General features: G+C 34.7%; 1 long non-coding RNA gene across 1 annotated transcript in view; it reads right to left on the bottom strand.

Moving 5' to 3' along the window:
- The window catches only part of LOC105378029 (uncharacterized), a 47,734-nt gene extending 28,206 nt beyond the window's left edge, over window positions 1-19,528 (bottom strand). The window contains exons 1-2 of the long non-coding RNA XR_943077.3: window positions 19,312-19,528; window positions 18,527-19,231 (exon numbers count right to left, since the gene is read on the bottom strand). This is a non-coding gene — a long non-coding RNA (uncharacterized LOC105378029). The remainder of the gene's footprint in view (window positions 1-18,526; window positions 19,232-19,311) is intronic.
- Between the last annotated feature and the right edge of the window lie 246 nt (window positions 19,529-19,774).

The following is a 19,774-nucleotide window of genomic DNA, read 5'->3' as shown; positions in this document are numbered from 1 at the left end:
AAGAAACAAAACTTGCATTATTTATGAATGATACAATATATGTAAAATATTCAGAAATATCAGACAAATTGAATTAAGAAGTACATTTACCAAAGTTCAAGGATAGAAGGTCAATATACATAAATCAATTTTATATGTATATTCCAGAAAAGTAATAGCAAGTGGAAAATGCATTTAAACATATAAAATCAATTATAATAACGTCAAAGAAACATTACATTCCTAGAAATAAATCTGGCAAAACACATGGGAGAAGACTGTTCTGAAAGCTCTAGACATTAGGAAGATATTTTAAAGAACAAAAAATTATAATATGCCATGTTCACTGATGATAAAACACAATATTCTAAAGATGTAATTTCTCCCAAAATGAATGAATATATTCAACACAGTTCAAAATCTCTGCCAGTGTGTGTGTGTGTGTGTGTGTGTGTGTGTGTGTGTGTGTGTGTGAAAACTGACCAGGGGAAAATAAAATGTACCAGGAAATATGAAGTCATGAATACCCAAAGCAATCACGAAAATAAAAAGTAAAAATGGACCACTTCCAGATATGAAGATCTATTATAAAGTAATACTAATTAGAAAAGCATAGATGAAATGAACTATAAAGTTGAATAGAGAGCCCAGAAAGAGACCTAATCATATACAACTCCATGTAGTGTAATAACAGTGACAATGCTTATGTGAAAATCAATTTTCGACAGAATGCAGATCAAGATTTAACATATGAAACAGTAAAACATTGAGAAAAAACACAGAAGATTTTTCTAGTTGAGCCTGAGGTAGGCAAATATTTCTTAAGCAAGACATACAATTGCTGACCAAAAGAAAAATAATTCATAAAATGAACAATATTATACTCACAGAACTTCTGTTCCTCAAGGTATACTTCATGGTGAAAGGGCAACCCATAGAGTGGGAGGTGCTGTTCACTATATATTCATATATATGATACAGAATTCTTAATTGTAATGTATAAGGATCTCTTTCAAATTAATAAGATAAAGTAATGCAACTCATCATTAGTCATCAAAAAATGCAAATCAAAAGTAACATACTGTATTTATATACAACCATCAGAGTGGCTGAAATGAAATAGATAATGCCAAACTGGTAAGAAATTAAAGTATCAGAGGCTTCAAGTGAAGGGGTATATAGAAGTATTTGTACAATTCACAAAACCCTTAGGCAGTATTTACTAATGCTGAACACATGCATAACTTGTGACTCACTCCTGGGTACATCACCAAAGCAATGGCCAGCAGATTTCTCAGCAGACTATCGCAAGGACAAAAAACCAAACACCTCATGTTCTCACTCATAGGTGGGAACTGAACAATGAGAACACGTGGACACAGGAACGGGAACATCACACACCGGGGCCTGTTGTGGGGTTGGGGGAGGGGGGGAGGGATAGCATTAGGAGATATACCTAATATTAAATGAAGAGTTAATGGGTACAGCATACCAGCATGGCACATGTATACATATGTAACAAACCTGCACATTGTGCACATGTACCCTAAAACTTAAAGTATAATAAAAAAAAAGAAAAAGTAAATAAATGTCCAGCATGCGCCTGCTAAAATGTTTTTTATGGCACTACTTAGGCTAGTCCAAAATGCCTATTAACAACAGACTGAATAATAAATGTATGTTCATTCAGCAGAATACTATCCAAAAATAATAATATGTATCTTACGAGTACACAAAATATAAATGAATCTCTCAAAGAAAATATTGTTCAAAGGTGCTAGACACAAAGGATTATATTTTGTATTATTTTGTTTACATAAAATATTCAAACTAGAATGACAAACTTATATCTTCAAAAGTCAGGATAGTGTTTATCTTTGCTGGTGGGGAAAAGTGACTGGTGAGTGGAAGAGTACAAAATAGTCTTCTGGGAATTTGCCAACATCCTGTTTTTTAAGCTAATTGATACATACCCAGGTGTGCTGAATTACTCATTTATGATGCAGACACTTTCAATTTAATAGCTTAGCCAATTAAGTTATCTCTGTCCTGGTACAGTGTGCTTTCATTATTGGTTTTGCCCAAATATTAAATATGGACATATAAATCATGTCTATTAATATCTCTACTATGTTTGATATGTATATGCTCAAAGACTTCTAATACTGTAATATATAGATGGTGGTTGCAATCTTTGAGGTGGCAGAAATCACCCAGAAAGGAATAATACTGTAAAAAAAGAAGCTCAAGAACTAATTCCTTGGAAACAGCAGGGAGGCTAGAGTTTAGTCCATAACTATAACTAGTGCTTTTAAAAGAGACAGCAACATCAAACAGAGACAAGCCATACTCAGGTAACGATGAGAAGCTTCAGTAACCATATTCCAATAAGTTAGAGAAAGAAAAAGGAAATTCTTAATTCTACAATTATCATCTTTAGTTTCTGTTCAACCTTTTCCATCTGCCATGTCTTATTTCAGAGCTAATTGAGTGTCCAATTTTCCATCTCATTATTTCAATCCACCTTTCTGGAGAGTATATAAAAACAAATGCATAATCAATTCATTGCCAATACTCAAAACTCTTCAAATATTGCTCTGTTGCACATAGGACAGAGTACAAATTGAAATCCGTTAGATCAGTTCAAGAAGTGTTTCAGTATTTGGCCTTTACTACACCAGGTAGATTAACGGCTTGTCTTATATTGCTCTCACATACAGATTACATGATTTTGGCGTAAGAACTACTTACATTTAGATCAATTGTGTATTCAATGAGTTTATTCTTTCTGACATGAGGCCTGCCTTAAGACAAGTGTCAATTCAAGGCTCATCTTCCTGACAAAGCTTTACCAGACCTCATTTTACAGCACTCCACATTGCAGGTAATACTGCAACACTGATCACTGTTCATTCCACTAGATTTAATATTTAATCCTCAGTCTCCAGATTTCAAAAGTCACCTTTGTATCCTGAGTTTCCAGCTCTATATCTGGCACATGGGAGGTTAAATGTGCCTCAGTTTAGTTAGGATAGGTTTGGCTGTGAGAAAGACCTAAAAATTGTGGCATAAACAATACAGACATTTTTTTTCCTGACATGAAACATTTGAAGAACGGTAATGGGGGTTGCTGTTACGGTTGCTTAGTTCTATGTCCTCTCAACCCCTTGTAACTTCTCTGTTGCATGTGGCTCCCATTCACAAAGTTATTCTAGGATTCAGGAAAAGAGAAAAAGGCTCTTTAAATTTCATTTAAAGGAAAATATCACAAGTCCTCACAGAGCGTTTTCATTAAAACTCCATTTGTCAGAATTTCCTCCCATGGGGACTTTCCCATTCATAAGGGAAGCTAGGAATATAGTGCTTATCATCCTAAGTCTCCTCACTGCTTTTCCTCAACTGCCTCCTCTTCCACATCTCCTCTTTCTCCTTCTTACAATTTAACTCACTTTGGGTATTAGGGTTCTCCTGAGAGACAGAACCAATAGCACAGATAGACGGTAGGTAGGTGGATGGATGGATGGATGGATGGATGGATGGATGGATAGATAGATAGATAGATAGATAGATAGATAGATAGATAGATAGATAGAAACAAACATAAGTGTGAAGTGATTTATTAGGGGAATTGGTTCATAGGATTATGGAGACTGGAGTCTCACAACAAGCTGTTTGCAAGCTGGAGACCCTGGGATACAGGTTGCCAGCCTCACTCCAAATCTCAAAGCCTCAGAAGCAGAGAAGCTGAAGACCTGAGAAACTGGGGAGGGTGGGGGAGCAGGGAGTTGGGGGCTCTGCTGTAAGTCCAGGAGTCCCAAGGCCAGAGAACCTAGAATTCTCATGCCCAAGAGCAAGAGGAAGAGAGAGTCCTAGCTCCATGGCAGTGAGAGCTGAAACCCTTTCTTACTATTTTGTTCTCTCCAGGCCACCATCCAATTGGATGGTCCTGCCCACATCGAGAGCAGATCTTCTTCACTCAGTCCACAGACTCCATCACTCTCACAGATACATCCAGAAGTAATTAATGCATTAACAGTTCTCTAGGTATTCCCTAAACCAGTCAAGTTGACCCCCAAAATTAACGATCACACTTCCTTTTCCTTTCCCTCCTCTCTCCTCCTACCTTTCCCTCGTCTCTCCTTCTACCTTTTCCCCTCTTCAGTTTCTCTTCACCAAATCCCTCCAGTCTGCCCAGCCACCTATCCTAAATCTTCCTGGAGCAGTGAAACATAAGTGATGTCGATCAACAGGAAGACATATCTGAGTATACTGAATTGAAGAAGATGAGTATTAAAGTTAAACAATGTATATAAATACATTTTATGCTGGTAGATACATTACCATATAGAGTCAATTACAACCTAGTATTTAATTCTCTAATCTTTGCTCTGTCAGAACTTTGTAAACTAATATAACTGGATAAAAATCTCCATGCTGATTCACTTAATCGATATTTTTTACCATATAGTAATTTAATAAAATTATAAATGATTCATATTTAATATTTACTTCAATATACATATAATGCTTGGTCACGTGATTTCTCCGTGATTCACGATGGCTGGTTATTTATCTTAAGTAAATGTATGACCAAAACAGAATGTTATTCCTCTTGCAACATTAATATTTTCAATGGCAATTTGGAGATACTGGATTTGACAGCCTTGGGCAGATTTGCCCACGGTTAGAAAGATTCGGCCAAAGTATCTGTTGCCATGGTAGTTCGCTGTAGGGTATCCTGCTATACTGTCTATTTTATTATTCTTGTGGAAGCTAAGTTACTTTTCAAGAAATGAAAAACATTTTGGAGGATCCTGCCTTTGAAAGAAAATAAAAAGTAGGTACAGGCAGTTAAAATGAATTTTTAAAAACATTGTGCTAAAACACCTCCTTGACAATGTGTTACACACACAAACACATACACACACACCCCTGAGAAATAAGAATGTCATGTATTTTGATGATTCTATTTCAACTTAAATAACATTCTGTCTCTTTCAAAATTGAAATTGTTTGTTATTTCAAACTGCATATATACACATGAAATCTTAATGATATTAAACATCCCATGATATCTTACAGGCTAGTGATTCAAAGACAAATTTAAGTTAAATTTACAAGGAAATATTATATAAATGCATATAATAGTTATTCAGTTCAAGCAATTTTCAAAAAGCAAATATGCCCAGGGAATCAACACTCAGATCAATCAATAATAGAATACATATACCCTCTCAATCACTACTCCACCACGGAGGGAACCAGCATCTTGCTTTCTATCAGGATTGAACATTATTCATAATAATATGTAATATAGGCAAGCATAAACTATTATTGATTCCTCTTTTAAGAATAAGTGTGGCTCAGAATTTTACGTAAGATTTGTTAATACATGAAAGGTAGCACTTGAAACAAAAGCTTCTGAGTTACTAAGAGGGAAAAAAGAACATGAGAAAATTATTACAAAACAGCATGTGGTCAAGTATACATACACATGCCTTTTTCTTATAGGGTAAAATAAACGATGAGGTTTTTTTTCTTTCTTTTTTTTTTTTTGACGGAGTCTCACTCTTTCACCCAGGCCAGAGTGCAGTGGCGCTGTCTCGGCTCACTGCAACCTCCGCCTCCCGGGGACGCCATTCTCCTGCCTCAGCATCACTAGTAGCTGGGACTACAGGCGCCCTCCACCGCGCCCGGCTAATTTTTTGTATTTTTTGTAGAGGCGGGGTTTCACCGTGTTAGCCAGGATAGTCTCGATCCCCTGACCTCATGATCCGCCTGCCTCGGCCTCCCGAAGTGCTGGGATTACAGGCGTGAGCCACCGCGCCCGGCCAATGATGAGTATTTTTAAACATTATTCTGAATGATGTTAGCAGATCCAATGCCCTGCTTCACTCTGCACGTAGGGAGGATCATGTGCTAGGCCAAGCAAAGGCTTGCTGTTGTGTTTCTTCACTTGCTGAGAGAGAAAAGTTCTAACAGAATGGGTCTAAAAGAAAAGCTGAGTTTATACAAATATTTTATTTTTATGTGTATTATTGCTGAAAATATGAGTCAAAAGTGAAAGGCATATAGAATGATAAACTCTAATATAAACACTAATACTTCTGGATAAACAGTTAGTTCCCTACCACACTCTATGTCCTCATTTATTTTAATGTGCTCCAACTTCCAAAAAAGCATCATATCATTTCGGATGCTTCCTTCTGCCCATAGTTAATTGGATCCAGTGCTGACCCAAATTATGTCAGACTCCATTTCTAAAGTACATTTTATCTAAGCTGCAAGATCTTAAAAGGGAGGGCTGTGACCACTTGAAATGAAGATCTTCCAGTATTGGTGTCAGGGTGGACATCTTCCATCTGTGTACCACGCACAAATAAGCATAATGTAGGCACCAAACAAATGATCACAAAAATAAACGAAAACACTGTGGACTACTAAAATCCATAGGAAGTACACATTTACTTAAAACTCTCTGTGACTTTCTTTTATTGAGAAGAATTACAGATAATTTCCTCAAATCCAGAGCTACTTGCTCAACTTATTAATAATTTGTAGAGTGTTATAGTAGTTTTGGGAAAGGAGACTTACCTGGTGATGATTTTTAGTTGTCATAAAATCCTCATCAGTTTTCTGGTATCAAAGAGTTAAAATTTTATATAGCAATATTACAGAGTGAGTGGGACCACGTTTCTTTTAGAATTAAGAATATTTGGTCTGGCACAGTGACTCATGCCTGTATTCTCAGCACTTTGGGAGTTTGAGGCGGCCAGCTCACTTGAGCTCAGGAGTTGGAGATCAGCCTGGGCAACATGGTGAAACCCTGACTATTCAAAAAATACAAACATTGTTCAGGTGTGGTGGTTTGCACCTGAAGTCCCAGCTACTCAGGAGGCTGAGGTGGGAGGATGAGGTGGAAGGATCACTTGAGCTCTGGAGGTGGGTGTTGCAGTGAGTCAGTTGCACCACTGCACTCCAGCCAGGGCAAGAGAACCAGACCCTGTCTTAAAAACAAAACAAGCAAACAAAAAGAATAATTAACAATAAATGTTGATTTTTTTTCACAAAGAACTTTGAATCATGTAGGCAAATAGAAGTCCAGAACTACCTTAATATTTTAAAATCATAAGTGATATAAATATCCTGATACTAAAATGAAAGGTACATTAAAGAATGAGAAAATAAAATCTAAATTCGAAATTTAATTCCAGAAAACTAAGCTAATAAGACTTTAATAGTAGCCAATCTTTTGTATTAATCACTCAGAAAAGAGGAGACATTTGATTGTTTTATGATTGAAATAACATAGCATGTCAATTACACTTCTTACCTAAAATGTTTTTTTGAACCCGGCTGCAGTGGTTCATGCCTGTAATCCCAGCACTTTGGGAGGCCGAGGCAGGCGGATCGCTTGAGGAGAGGATTTTGAGACCTGCCTGGCCAACATGGTGAAACCCTGTCTCTACTAAAAACACAAAAATTAGTCAAGTGTGGTGGGGCGTGCCTACAATCCCTACTACTCAGGAGGCTGAGGCAGGAGAATTGCTTGAACCTGGAAGGCCGAGGTTGCAGTGGGGCAAGATCATGCCACTGTACTCCAGCCTGGGTGACAGAGAGAGACTCTGCCTCAAAATAAGTAAATAAATAAAAATATAAAATAATATAAAATTTTTTTTTGAGAAACAAAGCACTAATATTATATGCCCACTTTGTTTTTAGCATTAAGTGGCCTTACTACCATTTTCTTATAAGTTCTAAGTTTCATATTCTAACTTCATTTGCTTTGTATTGTCTTTATGTATATCCTAGTATCTACAAGAGATTTTATAAAAATAATAAATAAATACAAACGATTCATTTTCTAATTAACTTGTTAGTTTTCAAAGATAATCTCAACCATTCCCTTATCCTCTTCTCCAAAATGAGAAAGTACAATTTAATTTTGTTTGGGCTTCAAATAACAGAGAAAACTCAAGGCAGTGAGTAAAATTACTTGATACTTCAATGGCCCACATAGATATCTAAAAATGATCTTTCATATGGTATATTAGTTATAGGTGATGCAAGCAAAATTAAGTTTCTAGTTGTGTAAAGAACTTATTCCACAAGAAATAGATGCCATTCAATTTAAACTGTCTCAATGAAGTTATGTAATCAAACAAAAAGAAATAATTGGTGGTAAACACAAACTCTCCAGTGTGCTGGAATAGGCATACTTATTCTATGTTTTTGAATACTCTTGCCTCCAGTTACTACACCACCTCTAGAAAACATTCATTCACCTTAAATTTCTTCGTCTATAGAGCACATTGGCTCAATGGATATAAGGTTGTTCATATTTTCAACTTCAGTTGAGAATCTGGTTCATTAAAGACCTCAACACAATATGTATATATGGTCTATAAATAGATTGATAGAGGATAGTTAGAGGGTAGATGGAGGAGGATAGTTGGGTACATAAACACATGAAACTATTTGTTGTATCTGAACCACAGAAAAATTATGGTTAAAAACTAATACATGTTTTTTGACAAGCAAGATTTACTTTTTGGAAGAGGGCTTTGTAGGATATGAATTTCACTTCAATCTTTTTCACTTTAGTGGTGACTGGATCACAAAAATGATGTATTTATGGATAAAATATTTGATATGACCTCTAGAGTTTAAAATACCAAGACTCTGCTGAGTAAGAATAATACTGCCTGTTATATATTTACAAAGAATAAATACACAAAACCTTTTATAGTGAGAAGAAATAAGAAGAAATAATATAATAAAATGCATAATCCTAAAAGTGTAAATCTTTTATATCCATTATATGATTTAACTTTAATAATCTTTTATTTCTAAAACTTGAAATAACTTTTGAAAGAAGCAATGCACTATCCTCAAAATGTTTTAAATGATAACTTGGTAGACTATTATGCAGCTCTTAAACATGTTGATTATGCAGATTATGCAAAAATATGAAGAATGTTAATGAAATTATGTTAAGTGAAATAAAAATATATACATTGTGTTTGCACACAACATGCTAATTCTAGCCTCCATTTCTGTGGTTTTGATTTCATTACTTGGAATCCTGCAACTGGCACTACTTTCAGCCTAGAAAATTCCCACTTACACTTTAAAACTTATTTTAGGAATCAATCACTATTACTGAAATACTTATTCATTTTCTGCTACTCTACCTGGTAAAGAATTTATCATTATACTTGTCACATTGCATGGTGATTATCCATGTAAAGTCTTCCTTGCCTCTAGAATATTATTTTCCTGAAGGCTGTAATTGCCTTTTCCATGCTTGTAACCCTGTTGTATTACAAAATGCCTGACATGATACTCAGCATCTTGGCGATTAATCTATTCAATAAACCACAGTTTTGCCAGTGCTGGCCTCTCTAAGCAAGTGCCAGACTTCTGGTAAGCAAAGCTGCTACTGCCACTGCACTTTTGAGTGATGTTGGAACACACTAAGAAAAGACAGGAGATAACTTCCATGCTCCCAGCCTTATCATCAGGCCATTCCTGGAAAAATTCTTTTGAAATCCTTAGAGCTAGCTAACCCCACAGTGTATCATAACCCTGCAGTTTTATCAATGCCCAGAATACCAGAGAAAAACAGAAACTGATGAATGAAAGTGATTACTTGAAAAGCTTAATGAATTAATAAACATATTTCCATACAATTTATTTAAATGTTAATCCCAAACTTGTCTATAGTAGTCAAAAATTAGATAGAAAACAATCCAATATTCATTAACAGAAGAATTGATTTAAAATTTGGTTATATTCATAAAATGACATCTAAGCCACCAATAAAAGGAAAAAATCATAAACACACACAAAAAAAATCTTCAAAACATAATATGAGCAACAGAAACCGACAAAAAGGGTACATCCTATGTGCATATAACTATCTAGATATATATATAAAATATATCTAGATATATAAATATCTAGATATATATATCTAGACCAAAAAAAAACTATGGTGAAATAAATCAGAACATTGATAACCTCCTGGGTTAGAGATAGGAGTCTGGGAAAGAGACTAGCAATCTTTTTGAGGTAATTAAAATGTTTTGTATTTTGAGGGGGTTGTGGGTTACATATGCATTTGTCAAAACTCATTTTCGGTGACTTTGATGTCTATTCAACACACTAAATGTAAACTGTACCTAGATTCCAAAAATGAAAATAATATCTAAGTGTGCTTAATATGGAGTACTGGAGAAGCTTATTCCAAAATGTATATGAATACTCAAAACTGTTTAAAAAATTAAATTGCTGTACTTACACATGTTGTTTTAAAATGTACTGTGAAGAAACAGTGGTTAAGAATATGTAGTAGTGGAGTAAGAATAGTCAAATGGACCAAGGAACAAGAATAGACAGTTGAGGGAAAAAACACATGTATATGATGGATAGATATTTGAACAAAGTCAAAATGGGAATTTAGAAGAGGAATGAACATAATGTATTTTGAATAAACACCATGGAATCACTTGCATATCTGTATGAAATGACGTGAACTTCAAAAACTACTTCATTTGATACACAAAGAATAATTCAAACCTGAATCTAAAAACAAGACACAGAAACATTTAAGATGAAAACTTAGACAAATATCCTTAGTAACTTGGAGTAGGCACGAGTTTCTTATACAATAAAAAACAAAGCATTAGATACAAAAGAAAAAAGCTAAATTGAGGTTGATAAACGTTAAAAATTTCTGCTCCTCAAAGGACATCATTAGGAAAATGAAAAAAGTTTCAGAAACTAGAAGAAAATTTTCATTATATGTGTGTGTGTGTGTGTGTGTGTGTGTGTATACATGTATATATATATCTGTCAGATATTACATGTCAAATATTTTATATATAAAGTATATATAAGAATATATATATCATATATAAGAAAATGTCCATTATATATATAAAACATATGTGTCAGATATTTTATATCTATATGTAAAATGAACATTTTCTGTGAGATATATATATGTCTGTTGGGTAGAAAACAGATATATATGTCAGGTGCATATATATAAATACTGTCATATATACATAATCTCTCTATATATAAATATCTGGATATTCACATATATATTTTTATATTTCTATATATATTCTATATATATATTCTATATATATTCTGTCATATATATTCTATATATATTCTGTCATATGTATTTTATATTTCTATATATACTCTGACAGATATGTACGTATCTCTCTCTCTCTCTCTCTATATATATATATATACACATATATATATAACTGACAGAGCATTTGTATACCCAGAATATCTGAATGCTTCCTACAACCTAATAATAAAATAAAACAATCCAATCAAAAAGGGGGAAAAAAGACATGAAAAAACACTTCACAAAGCAACATAATTCAGTGGTTAATGAACACATGAAAAGGTGCTCAACACCGTTAAACTTCAGGGAAACCAGTGAAAAAGCATTTCACATTTTCTAGAAGGGCCAAAGCTAAAGATTGAGAGTGTGTTAGAAAGAATGCAAACCAATTGAATATTTTTAACAAATCACTGTAAAATTTATGAGTATAGAAAACTGTTTCAAAGATTTTTTTATAACATCAAACATACACTTATCAAATGACCTAGAAATTCTATAGCTACTTACTTAATGAAGAAAAACAAAAGGTGATATCTACAAAAAGACACATACAAAAATGTTTATAGATTCCTCATTCATAATGCCAAAGCAGAGAAAAATTAAATGTCCATATACATGAAGATGTATGATCCCAACCCAATAGTCCTATAGATAGTTATTTTTCAATAAACAGAAACTGACCATTCTGATCTTAAAGCTTGAAAATTATATTTGTTTTATCTGAGTTCCTTCCTCAGGGAAAGATTTTCAGGCCTCTCAAAAGAAGTATCAAAAAACTGAAACTCATCAGATAACTGCATCTAGACAATGAGATGTCGGACCCATTTTTCATCATGATTGCTTCCTGGTTCCTCCCTAGTCTCTGCTTTCTTACACATTATTATATTTCTTCTCTGCTATATAAACCCCTAGTTTTAGTTAATCAGGGAGATGGATTTGAGACAGATCTCCCATTTACTTGGCTGCAGCACCTGATTAAAGCCTTCTTCCTTGTGTCAGTGATTGGTTTTCTGTGCAGGAGCAGGCGGACTTACACTGAACCCCTGGTGTTTCAGTAACAAGGATAGATATGTTTTGATAAACAATGAATATTTATCTGGTATAAAATGGGGCATGATACTGATGCTCCCGACAGGTACATTAAAGTTTCACTGTCTATATATTATAGTCAAGGACAGGCAAAACTAATTTATGATGGGAGATACAAAACCTGTAGTCTCTCCTGATAATGGTGGAAATTTCTGGGGAAGGGGGACTAGGAAACTTCCTGTGGCTAAGGAAAAGTGATATATCTTGGTTTATAGGGTGCATATACAGGTGTATACACTTGTGAAAACATAGTATACATTATTTATGATGTGTACCTTTTATTAAATGTATATAATATCTCAATAAAAATCTTCATATAGATTATTGTTTTGCTCCCTGCAGAATATGTTTAGAGCCTCTGACTACATTTTCTACCAATTAATTTAAAAAGAAAAACTAGATACAGTAATGCTGAGCATTTTTTCAATTAAAAGGGTAAGTGGATTTTTCTTATTTCTCATTATCATCTACCTTGATCCTGTTGGAGATCATTTTTATTGATTGATTGAATTAATTTTTTTATTTCATTTTTTTTGAAGAAATGGGGTCTCATTCTGGCTCCGGGCTGGAGTGCAGTGGCACAATCATTGCTTACCACGGCCTTGAAAACCCAGGCTTAGGCACTATTTCTGCCTCAGTCTCCTGAGTAGCTAGGATTATAAGCACATGCTGGGATTACAGGCGTGAGCCAGGGTACTCAGCCCCTAGTGGTTACTTTTAATTTTTTAAAGCTAGTGTTTTAGTTGCTATGAAGTGATACTATTCTTTCAAAAGTCTAGCTGGAACTATGAGAGTCAAGGCAATATTAGTTTTTCTGTGTGATGTTTTGGTTTGATTTTGTACCTATACTTTTTGTTAACTATTATTTTCATTACTTGGGTGCCACACTGCCTGCAATCTCCAAACAGAGGAAACTTTTGCTCACTCCTTTATCTCCTTATACAAAGAATTTGCTTTTGGAGAACCTAAATGTTCACTAAACTAATTAGAATCAAGATGGCATGGATTCTTGGTGGGTTAGTCATATTAGGGCTCTACAAAAGGACTGAAGGCTACCCTAAGGACATACACAAACAAGCAAACGATTCATAAACCTAGGGCCAACCTGAGTATAATACAATTTTTGGAAACTGGAAATTTCTGATTAAGGTGGTTTGAATAATTAACAAGCAGTATAAAGTTATGGAATGAATATACACTGTCTGTGGAATCCAAAAGAGTTTGATTTAATGCTAGTTTTGTCATTTATTGTGTGATCTTTCCATGTTTAAGATGTATTGACTAACATTGAAGGTAACAATGTTACTGAAACACCAGGGGTTTGGTCTAAGTCCTGCTGCTCACCACACAGAAAGCCAATCACTGAGACAAGTATTGCTGGAGACAACAGCTTTAATCTGGTGCTGCAGCCAAGGAGATGGGAGATTAGTCTGAAATCCATTTCCACAACTAACTGAAATTGGGGGTTTACATGGCAGAGAAGAAATGAATCCATGTGTTGGAGAACAGGAATTAGGGAGGAGTAAAGAAGAGAGTTTGGTCAACAGGATGCAGGTAGTTAGATTAGGTAGTCATGATGGATGACAGGTCTGCATCTTATTGTCCAGGTGTGGTGATCTAGTAAATTTTAGTTCTTTGATACTATCTGAGAGGACCGATAGTTGGTTTCCTGAGAAAGGAACTCAGATAAGACAAATTTAACTTTCTTATGTTTCAAGACTGGGGATTGATTTTTATGTTTATTCAAAGGAGACCATAAACATTAGTACCATGGGACAATTGAGCTGGTTTCAGTGCCCCCCTTTCTATTTATCAATTCCTGAATCATGGAGAATCTGGTCATCAATATTTCTGTCTGCCTCAAGCTGGGGAGGGGCAGTGTGGACAACTCTACACATCACGGGTGAATATGGGCAATAAGCAAATCAGAGGTTAATCTTATACTATAATTTTCTTCTAAAACATAATCTCTCTCTCTCTCCAGTTCCCCACTTCCACCAAAGATAGATCTATTTTGCAGTCTACTTGCAAAATAAGCTTCAGTCCCACTGTACTTGGCCTGATTACCCACAAAAAGTTCAGTAATAGGCTCTCCATTGTCCAAATAGGCTCTCCTAAATTGGCTTTGCTGGAACCAAGGATCAGACTTGACCTCCACAGGCATCTTCAGCACAGGCAAGGATCCATCTGCACCTGCAGATACCTGTATGAATTGGGTGAACTCTTTTCTTCAGGCCTCAGCAACTTGAGATTCCTTGGCCCTGTCAGAAAGTGATGCTCTCCACTAACCACAGACAAGGAACCCTGCAAAGGAACTGTGTAGACGAAGTGCCAGGCCAGTCCTAAGGGGTTCTCATTGGCTGTATAAAGTTAGTATCAATTTCTCCAAACAGTCTGCTTATATCTGAAAACATGCCATTTCAGTCAAAGCCTAGGGAAAATAACCATTTCCTCCAACTTTGTCTTGTTATAAAAGAAAACAGATTTTTATTGAACTTATGCAAACAACTGCAGTTCCATGAATTCAGAATATTCACAAATAGTTTCTGAATTCTGGATAAATCAGGAAGAGAGAAATATGCCTAAAATTCTTCTAAAAAGAGTGTACTCTCCTCAGTTGTTAAAGGCTATAAATAACTCAAAAGAACATTTCCTCCAGGCTCTGAAAAACAAAACAGACTCAGCAATGTTTCAAAAAAGCTATAAAAATTATTTCTTTCCTCCATTAGTTCAGTCCACACAATCAACTCCTGCTCTGTTCATATTGGGTTATCAATCTTTATAAACACATTGGCCTTTTAAATCAAGTCCTGGAAGTTTTCTCTTTAGTCCAATGGCACAATCTCCAAAGTTATCAGAAACCCACATTCAGAAGTCCTTTTCATGAACTCCCCCAAAGAAGCAAGTCTTGGACTATAGCTGCTTATAAGTTGCTTTTTGAGAAGAATCAAAGCCAAAGAATTGTGGATGACAAAAGTCTTAGGACAAACACAATTGACAAGGAAATTTGGTTATTTCTGTGGCATACAAAAATTTAACATAATAATCATAATAATTACAACATGTATTAATACATATGAGAATTTCAGGAATCACATACAATACTGAGACAAACATTAAAAATACATTTATTTAAGTATAATCCAAAGAAAAGTAAACACCACCTCACATTTTAAAGTAATTTGACCATAAAGTAAGATCTCCTTAACCTTTCATATTTTTGTAATTTTCTATTGCAGAGAAAATCAATGCTCTAAGAAAATGTTCTTATTCTGCCACATGGGTCTAGGTGCTGGCCTTAAATCAGTGCACTTGGTATATTATTCTGAACTAATTTTGTCCCTCAAAATTGGCCCTTACATTCTCATGCACCCACCTCTTCTACAATAGTTCCTGAGCCTAGAAGGATTGAATAGTTTTCATTTCTGGCTTTGTGTCTCATGAAAGCAGTTCATTTTTATTATCATCTTCTCCCACGTCTAAAGACAAGGCTTTGATTGGCATCACTGTTCAAGATTTATCAGGAGTTGATGCCTTTTTCAAACCTAGGAGTCAAAGCCTTGCAACTTAACAGCATAAGGATTAGTAAATAGGACATTTTTACTGCAGAAATTCCTATCATTCTCTCCAACAATGTCACAAATTAAAATACTGTCATTTGGTGTCCAGTTGCAGCACTTCAAGCTATTATATTAAAGTGGTTAGGTTACTTCTTGCATATATCTAATTGCTAGCATTCTAGTTACAGAACTATACCAAAAGCATAAAAATGGGATAAGTCCTTTGGCAAACTTATCAAAGTAAGATCATTAACTTCTCTCCATAAAAAAATGGCAAATGCAAATATCAGCTTTGGAAGTTCAGTATGAGGACGAATAATCTCCTTTCACTTCAGTAGTACACAACAAAACAAGGGCAAAGTAAGAACAAACACACAATAATTCCTGTTCAGCTATTTTAAAAGTGTATTGTCACACATTTCCAAGATTGGTTTTCACATATAGTACTGATGGCTGATTAGGTAACTTTTACCACTAGAATCTTTAAACCAGCGCAACATGTGTTTTCAAGTACACATATGAAAACCCAACAGTGATAGAAGACTTGGGTCCAAACATCAATAGAATATTCTCATATTTGATAAAAGCTTAGGTTCAAAAATCACTAGAACATGTTTTTTTAAACTGCTACTTAATCCAAGTGAATGTCACTTAATTTTAACAATGGTAGGCACAACTAAAGTAGTTTGAAAGCAATCCCAATCAATATAATTTCGATAATGACAAGGACAATCTTTCCTGAATATTAAAACTTAGTACCCACATCAAAGTTTTCCTTCATGATTTGAAGGAAAAGATCTTAAGCCAACCCAAATTATTGATAGAATTGAGTTACCATGGAAATAAACACCACTTAAACATTTCTACTGTTACCTAGTTTTCTAAATAAAAAATATATAATGAACTATTTCTGTTCAGAACTTATAAATCCTTTATTTTTATGCCAGGAAACTTAACAGCTCTCTATATAAGAGATAAGCAAAGTCAATCCGATTTTAAATGGCTTGAGCAAGGTAGCTTAGGTATTTTAGGTAAATAGAGCAAATGATGAATTGTTGGAAATGCATAGGAAATGAAATGACTAATCATAGAACCAAATATAAGCCTTCCATTAGAAACTAAAAAACATAGATGGTTTTATATGTGTATATATAAGTAAAATCCAAAGGAGGACAAACATCAAATAAATTAAGATTAGAAGCAAAAACAAATAAACAGTAAATCAACTCCCAATTTTTCACCTACTCAGTTTACCTTGGAGGCTAGTGTTACCTAGGGCCTAAAAAAAAAAAACACAGGATGGATTTTTTTTTTATTGATATGCAAGTTAATGTCTGTAAGTCCACTAACACCACTATACACTTCATGCAATTAAGAAACATATTTCAGACATGTGAATGGTAAGTACTTTAGTACATGCAGAATAGCAGATACGGTGTGAAACAAAGCAATGCAAACATCTATGTGAAATTTGGCTCCATGCTAAATCTGGCTCTATGCTTAACTATATTAAAAAATGATTGCCAAATTTCAAATGTAATTTGTATAATATTTTTTATTTTAACTTCATGAATGCTAATAGCTTTAACTATGAGCAATATTAATTAGCCAAATTTCTCTAATTTTTTATTGGATTTTCAAGAGTATTTTATTACATAAATTTTTTCAATTTTCTATTTTCTCTGTATGTGCATGAAGATAGACACAGAGAAACAGGGAAAAAAAACTAAATTGGACATGCTTGGACTTTCTGTTTTGTCCTAATTTTTAAAATAACCAATTATTTTATTTTAGGACAAAAATTTACCATAGTCCATAATTTGAATCAACCTTTAGATAACTGCTGAATTAGACAAAATTATTATTTTTGTTAATAAGAACACATATTTTTGGCATATTTTTTATACAGAATTATACACTAACTAGAAATCTTATTGTTAGTAGCTTTAAATTTTAGTGAAAACCTAGTAAGCAAGAAGTCTTGAGTTATCAGATGTTAGTATTTTATAGATGAGAACATTCCACAATTTTTAGAAGCATATTTCCCAATATCATGACCTTTTATTAATTAGAAATGACCCAGACACCTAATGAACATCAAAAATAATTTTAAATTTAAAATTATACAAAAAGTAAACCTATAAGTTGTTTCATTTACATGTACTCAATTCTTTCATTTTTTAAACAGGTTATCTAGATTATTTATGAGAACTAAGATATTAGACCAAACTAGTCATTTCCTTGTTAACTATTTTGTAACCTGTGAATTGTAAGTGTCCATCTTAGTAAGAATTTTAAAGTTAAATACATGGGTATTTTCACTAATAACTCAGAAGATGAAGCTGTATTCATTAAACCAACAACATTAAATTAGTCTATTTATAAAAAAAATCACAGAAACAAAGATTATTTTTGTATTGGCTGGGTTTATAGATTTATAATCATCTGTGCCAAACTCTGACACCTCAAAATATCTAGCAGACACAAATATAAAACCAAGTTAAAAATATATACTGACAATTCCAATGACATTTAAATTTTTATTTTACCAGTACTTTTAAAGTCAACTTGTTTATTAAAGATTTACTTAAGTCGCATGAACTTGAAAATTGCTTGGACTTAATTTAGGAGTGCTCTTTTATTTATAAGCCAATTTGGTAGACACAACATATGAAATAATATACATACATGTAAACACATCTAAACATATATACATACATGCAAACAAAGATCCAATAACTTTTACCTTGGAACTCTAGCCATGAGATACCAATACAAACTCACAGGCTTATGAACACGTTCACATGGCTAAACTTCTTTTGACCTGATAGGCAATCCAATGAAGGTTGTGAACCAAAGTTTTGGGTATAGCAGTTTCTGTGGCATTTTGATTTTTAAAGGCTAAATCTCTCCACACTCCAAGGATGACTGGAGCCAGAAAAAACCACAGAAGAACATCATGTACTAATCAAGCCTGACCTTGCTTTGAACAACAGCATAAAAGCCTGAATACACAAAACTCCACCCTGCTTTGCCATTCAGCAGCAAAACGAGGCACATGGAGAGGCCAAACTTATCCAGATTCAAAGATATGAGGCCAAACAGTATTACATAAGATTATCAGCTTATCAAATTCTTACTTCCCATGGCTATATTGACATACACAAACAATCACCAAAATACAATCCAAGTGCTGCAGCAACCAACAAACCCCAAGAGTGTCCAAACTGAAACAGCGGAGCTTCCTCTTTCCATGGGGTGAGCTTGATGAATTTGCACACCAAAATTCTTCAGACTGTCCCTAGTTGAGAGGAGCAATCCTGTTGTCTGGTACCCACAAAAGACACTCACTTGCTCAGAAACACATGCAATTACTAAAAAGCCCCCAAGAGTGTCCAAACTGAAAACAGTTAGCGTGCTTCCCTCTCTTGGTCAGGTGGGCTTGTTCAACCTGCAAACAGAAATGTATTTAAAAGTTTCCCAAGTAGAGAGGAGCAGATCCTGCTGTCTGGGCCCAGAGAGGACACTCACCAACTACCCAGAAGCAGATGTTGAATTTCAAAGGCTGTTCTTCCCGGGCAATCAGGAATGTGGTTGGGGCCAGCAATGCCAGGGCCAAAAAGAGAGGCAGAAACCTACATCCAGTCCTAAAAGGACAGGCAGCTACTTAGAAAGGCTTTTAAGCTCCTCCAGCCTGCAGCAGACAGCAAAGCCACAAGCAATGCATTCCAGATCAGCGTACCAAAATGCCAGGGGTTTGGTCTAGGTCTTGCCAATCACTGAGACAATGAGTATTGCCAGGGAAGAAGGCTTTAACCTGGTGCTGCAGCTGAGGAGACGGGAGATTAGTCTCAAATCCATCTCCTCAACTGACTGAAATTTGGGGGTTACATGACAGGGAAGAAAGGTAACCATTTGTGGGAAATAGGAAGGAGTAAGGAAGAGAGGTTGTCAACAGGAAGCTGGTGGTCAATTATGCAGTCATGATGGGTGA

This window comes from Homo sapiens, chromosome 6, assembly GCF_000001405.40.
Source record: "Homo sapiens chromosome 6, GRCh38.p14 Primary Assembly".
In the NCBI taxonomy this organism is placed as follows: domain Eukaryota; kingdom Metazoa; phylum Chordata; class Mammalia; order Primates; family Hominidae; genus Homo; species Homo sapiens.
This window is presented reverse-complemented; position numbering and strand designations above follow the sequence as displayed.